Here is a 13025-nt window from a genome sequence, read left to right as displayed (position 1 = left end):
GACCCTCTCCTCCGCTTCCTCCTCTGCAAAGTGGGAATCCTGACGGTACCTACCTTGTCTGCTGCAAGAAATTGCTGCACACTCAGTGGCTTAAGATAATTATTAAGAAATTTATTCTCTCCTAGTGCTGGAGGCCAGAAATCCAAAATCAAGGTGCTGGCATTTGATTTCTGGTGGTGCTCCTTCTGGAGGCTCTAGAGGAGAATCTGTGCCTGACCTCTTTCAGGTTGTGGTGGCCTCAGCATCGATCGGTTTGTGGCCACATCACACCAATCTCTGTTCCACCCCCACATCGCCTTCTCCTCTGTGTGTGTAATTTCTTTCTGCCTCTCTGTCATGAGAACATTTGTGATGGCATTTACGCCAATCTGGAAAACCCAGGAGGGTGTCCTCAAGAGTTTTGACACAATCACATCTGCATAACCTTTACCATAGAAAGTCACATTCACAGATTCCAAGTTCCAGGGCTTAGGACAGAGACATGTCTTTGGGATCCATTATCAGCCTACCACTCTACCTCATATATTTGCTATAGGGATTAAATAAGTTAAAACGGGTAAAGCGCTTAGATAAAACCTGGAGCTTAGTGAACACGTTTAAAAAAACAAGTGTGGTAGAGAATCATTGGGGGATGGGAAGGACTGAGACCATACCCTGCCCAGGTGTCTCCTGTTACCTGGTCAGAAAATCAGTCATTCTTTTCAACATGCTCCGCGAGTCTGCAAACAGACTGAAGCCAGGCCCCAGTACTCACAAACGGCTCCAAATGACCCTGTGACCAGGTGCCCTCTTGTCTGACAGTGAATGTTCAGAGACAAGCAGGGGCTTCCTCTGAGCTTGTATTAATATGTACAGCACTTCACTCACATGGAAAATTGATTTTTTAAGCACAAAATGCAGCAGTTTTATAACCTTTCTGCAGCTTGACAAAGGCCATTTATAACCTACTTTCTCCGTCACTCTTCCTGGCGCCAGTCTCAAATGTCTTGAAGAACTCTCTCATGCATTTGTAATTACAAATTCTTCTCAGGCAAAATTTAATTTCCAAGAGGGCTGACCTTTTTTTTTTTGTTATTGTGGTTTTTGTAAATTAATTTTTGTGAGTATGTTTTATTATTGATGTTGTTTAGGACGATGGCATGGGAAGGGGAGCGGGGAGTTGGCCGGTGGGGTCTCATGGTGGGAAGGCATTTTAATCAGTGATGTCCGGTGATGGATGAGGAAGGCTGGGCTCTGGGTGTTAATCTTTGTGGACAAGAAATGCCAGCGGGAGGACTGAAATAAAAACCCAGTACCTCATTTTCTCTTCTGAAAGCAGGAGTATTGGAACTACTTCTCCATCAGCTGGGATGGAGAAGATGAGCTCAGCCTCATCAAATGATGGAAAACTAAATTTAATCAATAGCCATCTGTCTCCACAGTATATGATTTTCCACTGAAGGAGCACATAGCAGGTGCCAGACCCACTGACAAGAGCGTTCTAGCTGAGGCCATTGAAGGTTGAACTCCTTGGAGTTTACTTAGGGACCAGAGGGCTATGGGGAGGGCTGTGCATATGGCCAAGCAGAGGACTAGGTTGTCTATAAAGGGAGGACCTTGATTATCAGTTTATAGCAGCTTCACATGTTTTAAGATTCATTTACTTATTTAAGCTGGGGAGTGATGCTATTTAGAAATAGCACTCTGTTGGCCATTTGGAGGATGGTTTTGAGAAGGCCTGACTGGAGTCCAGCAGACTGGCTAGGAGCCCTTTTCATGGTGATGTGAGTATGCAGGAATCTTACTTAGGGCTCCAGGGATAATGGTGGAGAAGAAGAGACTAATTCAAGACAGGAAGGAAGGTAATTCACATTTTATGAGTACCAAATTATGTGCCAAATTCCGAAGTAAGGTATGCACCCCCATGATCCAACTTAAGCTTCACAACAAATCTGTAGTTGCAGGTATTGTGCCCATTTATTAGATGAGAACATTGAGGCTCAGAGACGGCAAGTAACTTCTCGGGTCACACAGTGAGAAGAGGAAAAGCTGGAAATTACACTCATACTGGTAGAGGCTTTTAAATATATATCTGGCAGCCTCCCTATGTGACCCTTCTAGCAGTAGACCCTATAGGGCAATAACAGTAGAAACAATAATGAATATGATCCCAGCAATATCAATATTAGCAGCAGCTGACATTTGCTGTGCTGTTGCCGTGTGAGCCAGTGTTCTCAACACTTTGCTGACATTATCACCCTTCATTCTCACAACACTATAAGCAGATAGTCACAAAAGTCCCATTTTACAGGTGGGCACACTGAGGTTCAGAGAAGTAAAGGGACTTGTGGAACTTGTCACAAAGTTATTAACTGACAAAAGGAGACTGAATACCTTTCTGTCAGGCCCTGACACATGTCTCTTCCAGGAGGGAGGAGAGGGTGTGATGGGGCCTACAACCTCCCAAGCCATAACTACCCTGTTGCCCTCTCTCTGAGCAGTGCCCTGAGGAGCTGAAACCCATGAAGGATGGCTCTGGCTGCTACGACCACTCCAAAGGCATTGACTGCTCTGATGGCTTTAATGGCGGCTGTGAGCAGCTGTGCCTGCAGCAGACGCTGCCCCTGCCCTACGATGCCACTTCGAGCACCATCTTCATGTTCTGCGGGTGAGTCTCTGTCCCCAAGGCCCAGGTGCCCCATTTACAGAAGTGAGGGATGCATGGGAAAATGATCAGACACTACAGCTCAGCAAGGCTGAACCTTGACCTTCAATAAAATGGCCTTTCTGCCTTTCCTGTTTTAGTCCAAGAGCCAAAAGCCAAAAGTATAACCTTCTGTTGGGTGGGTTAAAAAAGAAAAAAATGAGAAAAATAAAGATTGGGTTAATAAATGTAATAAATATAACCCATGCCCAGGCCTCATCCTAGAGCCAGGAGCTTTTTCCTGCTGAAGCCTCCTGCCCTTCTGAATCTACCTGTATGGGCCTAGTCAGTGCAGTTTGGAGACAAAAGCAGACGTCTTGAAGGTTCACAAAGGCTTCAGGTATGGTGCATAAAAGCACAGGCTAAGTCCAGCCTTCAAGCTTGGTTTCAGCAGGAATGTAGCAATGTGAGGGCACTGTTCAGCCTTTCTGTGTCCTAATGTCCGTATCTGTAAGGACAATTAACTGGAGGAGGGGAGGGCTAAAGGAAACAACACAGGTGAAGCTTGTAGGACAGCTCTGGCTCTTGAAGGACTCAAACTGACTTTTGAAATAAGTATGAGGCTAAAAGGGGAACACGTTGGGACCAACTTGCTGAGTGACTTCTGACAAGTCATGTTCTCTCCCTGGGCCACAGTTTGACCATCTGTGAAAAGAGATCTTTGGGGAAGGATGGCTGACATTTCTTCCAACTTACATTGCTTTCCATTTAAAGACTGCAATGGCCATTACTTCTGCCTTTGACAGCACCTTGCATATAGCATTTGGTCCTTAGTAATCACTTACAAGAACAGACTTTTTTCTTCTCTTCATTCCCTTTCTGATTATGTCTTAGTATTAGAATATTTGCTTATCTTTTGACATTCTGTGACTCAGAAAAATAATCTTGTACTCATGGAAGAAGTACATTTAATGCTGTCTTTACTAAGATAGAAAAGCAGAACAGGACATGTAACAACATTTTCAGTCCTGTGTTTCACAAATAGGGGGTGAGTGTGGGCATGGGTTTAATTCCAGTTTACCAGAAAAATGAATTAAACTTGTATGATTCTAGTGTGTAGAGTCCAGTTTTTCTTCCAGGGCTTATTTCAAGGTCTCCTTTCCTGCCCTAGTTGCACTTAGGGCTGCAGGTGCCTTTGTGCAGGTGTAGAAGCAGCTCACTGGAGGCCCTAGATATGTATCAGCAAAATAAATAAGAAATAAATTAGGGTATGCAGACCTGAATTTATAGCGATCTCTCCTCAGCTTAAGTGACTGCAGGGCAGTGTTGAGTAAATTATGCATGGCTTTAGATCTGCAGGCTGCATCCAGAATCAGCCATGTTCTTGTCATTGTTATTTTTCTCTCTGTGTGTTTGGGGTGGGGTGGGGGCTGTTCTTCTGTGGTAAATAATAACAGTAACAGCAGCAGGAGCAGCAATAATGGATTTTGACATCAGAAACTATTACCACCTTCCATCCACAGCACATTACAGGGAACCGTGGATTCAAAAGACACGAATTGTAATCCTAGCTCTGCCACTCTCCCTTAGCCATAAGGCAAGCCTTTCAGGACCCCTGACCTTCCATTTTCTCACCAGTAAAATTTTAATACCTACCTTAATATAATGATAATTCTGAAGAGAGGAAAGTATTTCATATTTGTTACCCTCTGAAGGCTAAGAAACATGCCCAAGGTCATATGACTAGTGATGTGGCTCAACATCTCCTTGCTGTGTAACCTTCAGCAAGTTAATTTATGTCTCTGTGCCTCAGTTTTCTCATCTGTAAAACAGGGATAATAGTAATATCTGTCTATAGAGATGTTATAAGGACTAAATATATTACCATTTACATTAATATTTGTGAAATGCTTTGGAACAATGTCCTGCACAGAATTAGCACTGTATGTGTTTGTTAAATAAATTAACTTAAGTGATTCTAATAACATTTGCTAGTGACCTGATGCACTAGACAGGACTAATCTGTTAATATATTGTGAAAGGACTGTGAGCGTCTTAAAGAAGATTGAATGGGTGAGAGTGTGTGGTGAGCTGTTAAAACCCATCCAAATGGTAATAAATAGGACAAAAACAAAAAAAACAAAAAACAAAACCCAGGCATCCTAAAACCAACTGCAGTTTCAACAGGATTTGGAAACTGTCTATTAGGAATGCAAATGAGAAGTTACCACACTTGTTAGAAGCACTGTAAACAATGAAAGCTATTAGCAGATACTTGTGAGAGAGATGGTCCAGAGAGAAGTGGGATGCTATTGAATTAAGCAGGGAAAACAAAATAAACTCATTATCAAGGGGACCTTCCCAACTTGCTCAAAGCTCTATGACCTTCCTAAGAGTGTTCTGGGTAGGAGAAGGTTTAATAAATCTGTTTGCAACCAGGTTAATAATAGCAGCTAACATTTACTAATGACTTTCTACGTACCATGACTGTTCTAAGTGCTTTGGGTACATTAGCTCATTCAATTCTCATAACAATTCTACAAGCGATGTTACTATTATGATTCCCATTTTATGTTTTTTTTTTTTAAAAAAAGCACAGAGTGGCTCAGTAACTGTCCAAGGTCACATATCTGGTAAGTGAGGTTGTTGAGATTGAAACTTAGGTATTGTGGTTCCAGGCTCAGTCAAGACAGATCTGATGTCATTGCTGACCTCTGGCCACATCTAGTCATGTGATCTTTGGCAAGCCACTCAATTTCTCTGAGCCTATGCTCTTTCATGTAGAATTAGAAGTGATTGTAGCACCATTGTGAAGATTAAATGAAATTATACATGCACAGGAGCTGTCATAGTTAAGCACTCAGTAAACCATAATTATAATTAGTCTAATAAGTATAAAACCATCTCATTTAATTATGTAATTACTGGATTTTATCTCTTGTTTACTACTTTGTCTCCAGGAGCTAAAACAGTGACTGGCACATAGTAGGTTTTCAATTAATAGTTGTTAAGCAAAGTTCCTCCATTAACATGGCTAAAGAAGTTTCCAGTCTGACTTTTCCAGTTTCATTTCCAGCTAGGTTCCTCTTCCTAAGTTAAGCCTCCTGGTTTCAGTTTCTGGAGTTTTCACAACACTGTTCCCTCTGTCTCCTGTCTCTTTCTCCTTTGTACCCCCACTGACTCCCATTTGTCCCTGGCCCTTTAGCTTTCGCCTCCAAGTTTCAATTCAGGCATCACTTTTTCAGCAAGCCTTCTCTGAGCCCTAAGAGGCATCAGGTGTGAGTTATGCAGTTACCTTGGAACAAGATAATTAATACCCATTCTTTCTTTCTTCTTTTTTTTTTTTTGAGATGGAGTCTCGCTCTGTCACCCAGGCTGGAGTGTAGCGGTGAGATCTCAGCTCACTGCAACCTCCGCCTCCTGGGTTCAAGCGATTATCCTGCCTCAGCCTCCCTAGTACCCGGGACTATAGGTGCGTGCCACCACACCCAGCTAATTTTTTGTATTTTTAGTAGAGATGGGGTTTCAGCGTGTTAGCTAGAATGGTCTCGATCTCCTGACCTCATGATCTGCCCACCTCATCCTCCCAAAGTGCTGGGATTACAGGCGTGAGCTACCGTGCCTGGCCAATATTCATCCTTTCAAATGGATACTATTTAAATATTGGCTGAATGTTGCATGGGGTTAGGGCCTATATAGAAATGACATTTTCCCTCGTCTATTTATTTATTTATTTATTTATTTTCATTTCTACCTACAAGGGAAAGGAATATTTACATTTTGTCTCAAATTCTTATTTATCCCAGTGAAATCTTGACATCTCTTGGAGACTGGACCTCTGGCTGGCTGCCCTCTCATCAGTTTACGTTCTCCAAAACAGAGTAAATCATCCTTTCTCTGGGGCTGCACAGGCCCCATGGCTCTCCCTGTGATAGCCTCATAGCTTGGTTGATTTACCTGCATTCCTGTCTGTTTCTGTCATACTGTGAACTCCTCATGAGCAGGGACTACATCCTAGGCATCTGCATGTCTTCATTGCCATTCCCACTGCTTGGCCCAAAGACTTATTTAGAACCATAATGATTGAATTAAAGAATTCATCCGCCTAAGATTTGTTGTGACTACTCTGTGCCTGGTCTTTTATTAGGTGCAAATAATCATTGAGTAGAGTTCTTCTCCAGCAGGGGCAAAGAGGTGCCTAAGCCTCACTGGGTCCTGATTGATATTGACAGAGCACAAGTACCAGAATGGTAGACAGAAGCAGGTGAATTCAAGATAGATTGAGAAGGTCATTGGACACTAAGCTAAAGCCTGTAGAATAAATCCTTAGAACCAGTCTTATAGGTGAGAGGGCATCACCTCCTGTGAAGACCTTGGCAAGTTACCTAGCAACAAAGTTTGTCTGTTTTGTGTGTGTGTATGTGTTTACAGAGTCTACCATGCACACTTCCAAGAGAACTTATTTTACTCACATAAAGACAATATATTTTTAAAAGGCTATTCATATAAAGATAGGAATCATCAGAGCCATTTTAAGGAGGGGAGAGAAAATGGTTTCAGAAGCTCAAAATGAAAGAGTCACTCAACATGAGATAAATTTGGCTGTGTGCTTCTTGGCAACCAAAGTAAACAGAGAAAGAGAAAAAATACCCATAGTGGATTATATAGTTGTCCTTGTATGAGAAAAGGAAAGTTGTAGTTTTTTTGTTTTGTTTTGTTTTCAGGAGTTATACACCTTTTTCTGCCGTTATTTGCTAAGAGAGTTATTTCTCATATATTCCTATGTAAGAGATAGTGAGCCATTTCATCAACTTTTTTTTTTTTTTTTTTTTTTTTGAGACGGAGTCTCGCTCTGTTGCCCAGGCTGGAGTGCAGTGGGGCGATCTCCACTCACTACAAGCTCCGCCTCCCAGGTTCAGGCCATTCTCCTGCCTCAGCCTGCCAAGTAGTTGGGACTACAGGTGCCCACCACCGCGCCCGACTAATTTTTTATATTTTTAGTAGAGATGGGGTTTCACCGTGTTTGCCAGGATGGTCTCGATCTCCTGACCTCGTGATCCACCCGCCTCAGCCTCCCAAAGTGCTGGGATTACAGGTGTGAGCCACCGCGCCCGGCCTCATTAACATTTTTTAAGTTTCAGTATTTTTCAGATCATTTAGAGGAGGAAACTGAGGCCCTCAAGGTGGGGGCACTCACGGCCAGTTAGGAGGTAAAATTGGGATAGAAGCTTGAGATATCCCAACCTTCTTGCTTCCAATTTAAATGAAAGTGCCCTAAAAACACATTAGCTCAAATAACACATCCAGCCTCAAATAGTCCTTAATAGCCTCTCTGTCTAATATTCTCTTTATGTAATTTTAAGAGGGAAAGGAGATAAACATGTTTAATATGCATAGTAACTGGAAGCCACGTATTTTCATTGTCAAAGCTGAAGTCTAGTCTAACAGTAGAAAACACTGAACGACAGAACAGAGACAATGGCCTTCATTTTGATTATCAGTAACAAGTGGAAGAGTTGGTGGGAGATGGGGGAATTCATTCAGGCACTTGTTTTATTGTGGTTTCCACCTTTTAGGTTAAAGCCTGAGCCCTTACCCCTTTCATTTCTGGTTGGAGAACGTGAATTTTACTTCTAATCGTTAACATAGAATACTTTCATGCCAGGTTCTTGTCAAACATTATAACCTTGTTTTCTCTTCTTTTTAAACATTTGTAAAAGCTCAGGTGTAAAAAATGCTCACCGACAATTGATGGAAACACGTAATATCCATCCATTTGTTTGGATAGCTATTTTCCAGTGTGGATTGTATGGAACATTAGTTCCATGAGACATTCAAATATTAAACAACAACAACAAACTAAATGTTCAGAGTTTCCCATGTGGAAAAATCTGCACTCCTAACTGCCTCTTACAGGTTCCCAGTGTGCCTGGGGATAGTCAAGGCTCTCCCAAATCATGCAGTGGAGAAACATATTTCATTGATTCTAAAGTGCCCATATTTTCCACATTTTAACATTTCTGAAGTGGGAAGGTATCTTAGTTTTAATGATTTGACAGAGTTTATTTGGCAGTCTTTTTTTTTTCCTTGTTTCTTTCTTAGTGTTATGTAAACTGAGAGTGTTTCTTACCATTATTAGGGGTCTTAGACTAGATAAAATCTGCTATATAATTAATCCAGAGTTTCCCATGGAATTCCATTTTCTATTCACTTCTTTCTTTTCTTTTTCTAGAAACTCTAAATTTTCCCTTGAATAAAACCTGCAACCCAAGACCGCTCAGAGAACACCTCCTCTGATCTTCGTTTGGTTAATGTTGGGACAATCCTGAGGGTGTTGGTGAAAAAGATTCCCATGATATCAGTTAGAAGGGTTAATGCAGTTGAGTTCCTTAGGTGCTGGTTCTAGCCCTGATGATCCCAGGGTGGGGTTTTCACAGGTTTCTGCACTAGGAAAGCTGGGAAGGAACCTGTTCCTTTCTTGCCTTAGTAATAGGATACTTAGATTTATTCCTAACGTTGGTCCAAGTCTACCTGTTGTGCAGCTCCTTGAGCTATTCTTACCCTTAACTACTTTTCTCTCTCTCTCTTTTTTTTTTTTTTTTCTTGAGACAGAGTCTTGCTCTGTCACCCAGGCTGGAGCGCAATGGCACAATCTCAGTTCACCGCAACCACCTCCTCCCGGGTTCAAACAATTCTCCTGCCTCAGCCTTGCAGGTAGCTGGGATTACAGGCGCTCACCACCACACCCAGCTAATTTATTGTATTTTTAGTAGAGATGGGGTTTCGCCATGTTGACCAGGCTGGTCTTGAACTCCTGACCTCAGGTGATCCGCCAGTCTCAGCCCCCCAAAGTGCTGGGATTATAGGCATGAGCCATCGCACTTGGCCTATTCTTAATATTTTTAAGGATTTGATTCCTTCCTTATTTTCAAAAAGTTTCTAGGATATGTATTTTGATAATTCTGTTGATTCCACAAACCATTGAAGAATAAATTAATAAATAAGGAAAAAATACATGAGAAAAAGAAATACTTTGCTTTGAGAGTTTGTACACAATACCATTTGTCTGTCAGTCTCAATTTTCTCCTTCAAACAACAAACAGATAGGAAGAGGTCATTTGTAATTAACTGGAAGGAGCACAGGATTTGGAGTAAGAAGACCCAAGTCAAGGTTCTGGCTTTTCCAAAATGCTCATGTGACCTTGATTAGTGAGCTTAGATGTCCCAAGCCTCAGGATCCTCTGTGACAATGTTGGAATGAAAGTACCCATCTCACAATGTTGCTATGAGGATTAAATAAAACATGCTCTGAGCTAAACACATAGAAGGTTTTATGGTGCACTCTCTAAAATCCCATCTAGTTTTGGTATTCTCTATAATGTGATGGGTGTGTTAAGGGTAACACATCCATTGCCTTCAGCTAAAATGCCCGGTATGTATCTCTGCACTTATTTTATATTTTTCATTTTGGCACATGTATAAATAGAGTTTCATGTAGATCTTGGCTGGTTTCCTGTGAGCCTACACTCTTTAGAATTTCTGTAGGAAAATCTCCCAGATGACAGAATGTTCTAAAGAAGCTATATAATTATGTGTCATAGTACAAAAATAAAATTTAAAAAAAACCCAACAACTAAATAGACCTTAGCATAAACCTTCCTATGCCCTTAGGTGGCTCGGCGGGGGAGAACTGCTCCTGTTTCAAAACTCAGGGGATCATTTTCCTTTACAAGGATGGGAATTTTTTTCCCCCTGAATCTCTCCTGCAAGCCACAATCTTTTCCCACCCACAGGGAAAAGAAAAATCACTGTAAATCCACAGTTGTGATATGCTTAAAGTCGTACACACACACTCACATTCACACACACGTCTTGAGCTCCTAAGTTTTGATTCCCAGCACCACTATTGACTAGACATACCTCCATGGGCAAGTCACTCAACTTCTGTAAACCTCAATTTTCTCATCTGAAAGTGGAGACAATACCTCCCTGTGAGTGTCTCACATTTCCTATTGCTTCTGTAATGAATCACCACAAACTTAGTGTCCTAAAATAACACACTTTATTTTACAGTTCTCAAGGTCAATATTCTTAAAATCAAGACAGTGGCAGGGCTGCATTCCTTCTGGAGGCCTTAGGGGAAGATCTATTTCCTTGCCTTTTCCAACTGCTAGGGAGCATCTGCATTCATTGACTCATGGTCCGTTACTCTGCTCCCCTCTTATTCTCCTCTGCTTCTAAGTTGCATTTCCTCCTCTGACTAACACGCTTATCTCCCTCTTATGGGAAACATGTGATGACATTGAGATCACCCAAGTAATCCAGGATAATCTTTCCAGCTCAAAATTCTTTACTTAATCCCATCTTCAAAGTCTCCTTTGCCATGTCAGATAACCTCAGGTGTTCGGGATTAGGATGTGGGCATTTTGAGGAGGCCATTATTCTACCTATTACAGGTTATAAGGAGCAAACCAGGTCATATATACAAAAGCATTCCACTAAACTTTGGGATCCTGAATGTGGGACTGAGCTTTGCAAATACGTGTGTATGTACACACACACACTCAGAGACACACACACAAATAATGCATATATTTAACTTCTATATGATAATTCCACATGTAAAAATATATACAAATTATATGTATACCTTATTTCCAATGAATGCAACATAAGAAGTTCTCAAACATACACTGTGAAGCAGCAGAAAAACAAAAAAGGAATCAAAGAATGGCAACTATGTCAACTTTCAGAAATCTGGATCTAGATAGAGGCCAGCAACTAGGATATGAGAACCAATAGAAATAAATTTATACTTCCTGGGATATGTAAATGGGTTAATGGACTAAGTAACAACAACAATAACAATAATAAGCATAATAGCTGATGCATTACTTGAATACTATATGAGAGATACAGTTTCATCTTTTGTATAAGTTATCTCTAATTTTCACATCCCCATGATAAGGATTGTCATTTTCCTTAATAGATTATGACACCAAAGCCTGCGGAAATTAGCAGACTTGATCAAGGTCATGTAACTGGTAGATGGCACAACCTGTATTTGAACTCAAGTTTAGTTAGCTCTAAAATCTCAACTTGTGACTACCTTAGAATCTCAAAAATTTACCAACATAGAAATTATACAAACTACACTGTTAGTCTAAAAATGCAGTAATATTAGAAAAAGAGGAACAAACAAATTATCTATTTTGGAATTATATTTTTAAATATCTTCTAAGTGACACTTGGATATGGAAAAAATCAAACTCAAATTTTCACCTCATTAGAAATGAGCAGGAGCATGAGGGCTGCACGTCAGACTTATGGGGTGTGGGCAAAGCCACAGTCAGAAGCTTCAAGACATTTATTAAGAAGCAAGAAAGATTGAAAATAAACAAATGAGGCATTTGACTTAAGCAGCCATAAAAAGAATTATAAAACAAAGTCAGATAAAACAGCAGGAAGGAATTAAATAAAAGCTGAAATAAATTAAATAGAAAAGAAAAAAGGGAGCTCACCAATAAAATACAAAATACAAAAAGCCTATTCAAAGGAGAGAGCAAAGAAAGAACACGAACACATTACGAATGAGCTAGTGCCTTAACTATAGAAACATAAAAGATAAAAGAAATTTAATGAGAACACTGCATAGAACTTTACACCAATACATGTGAAAGTCTTGATAAAATACATTATAATGTTAGAAAATATAAATTACGAAGTTTGAGTCATGAGGATATAGAAAATCTAAATAGGCAGATAATAAGGAAATAAATGATAAGAGCTAAATATCTACAACTGAAAAGAAGCCATCGAGCCCAGGGGATTTTATAGGCAAGACTTATCAAATTATCAAGTAATGGATAACATCTATCTTATATAAACTGATCCAGAGAAAGAAACAAAAAAGGATAGTTTTTTAACTTATTCCATAATCCTAATACCCAAACTGAGCAAATATATGCTCTCCATTTAGAAAAATTTAGTAGACATGTTAGAATGTTTAAGTTCTTTATGTTCGTAGGATGCAACATCAACTTCGAAAAATCAGTAACAGCTTTTCTCAAGTCAGTAATAACTATGTAGAAAACATAAAAGAAAGCATAAATGAAAAACTGATCCTATTTCTGAAGTTTAAAAGATTGCAACAGTAGAATTTTCACTCTAAAAGGCACACATGATCTTCTTTATAGATAAGCAAAGGCGGTACAGAGAGGTTAAGTAGTTTGTCCGAGGTCACACAACTGGTAAGTGGCAGACTCAGCATTTGGACTCTGTTAGTCTGGATCCAAAACATACTTCGATAAACCTCTACAGCATAGTGCCTTTCATAAATGCCCATGAATAACCTCCAAAAGACACGTGCAAAACCTTTATAACAAAAAGTCAAAAACTTCAC

The 13025-nt window shown here is 40.3% G+C and overlaps 1 protein-coding gene across 3 annotated transcripts in view; it reads left to right on the top strand.

The window, feature by feature from the left end:
* The window catches only part of ASTN2 (astrotactin 2), a 991946-nt gene that overhangs the window by 591794 nt on the left and 387127 nt on the right, over positions 1 to 13025 (top strand). For all 3 annotated transcript variants that reach the window (NM_014010.5, NM_001365069.1, NM_001365068.1), the window contains one exon: positions 2481 to 2647. In NM_014010.5, the coding sequence (NP_054729.3) occupies positions 2481 to 2647 (167 nt within the window). The remainder of the gene's footprint in view (positions 1 to 2480; positions 2648 to 13025) is intronic.

Source organism: Homo sapiens, chromosome 9 (assembly GCF_000001405.40).
Source record: "Homo sapiens chromosome 9, GRCh38.p14 Primary Assembly".
Taxonomy (NCBI): domain Eukaryota; kingdom Metazoa; phylum Chordata; class Mammalia; order Primates; family Hominidae; genus Homo; species Homo sapiens.
The sequence above is the reverse complement of the archived record's forward strand: the minus strand, read 5'-3'. Positions and strand labels throughout refer to the sequence as shown.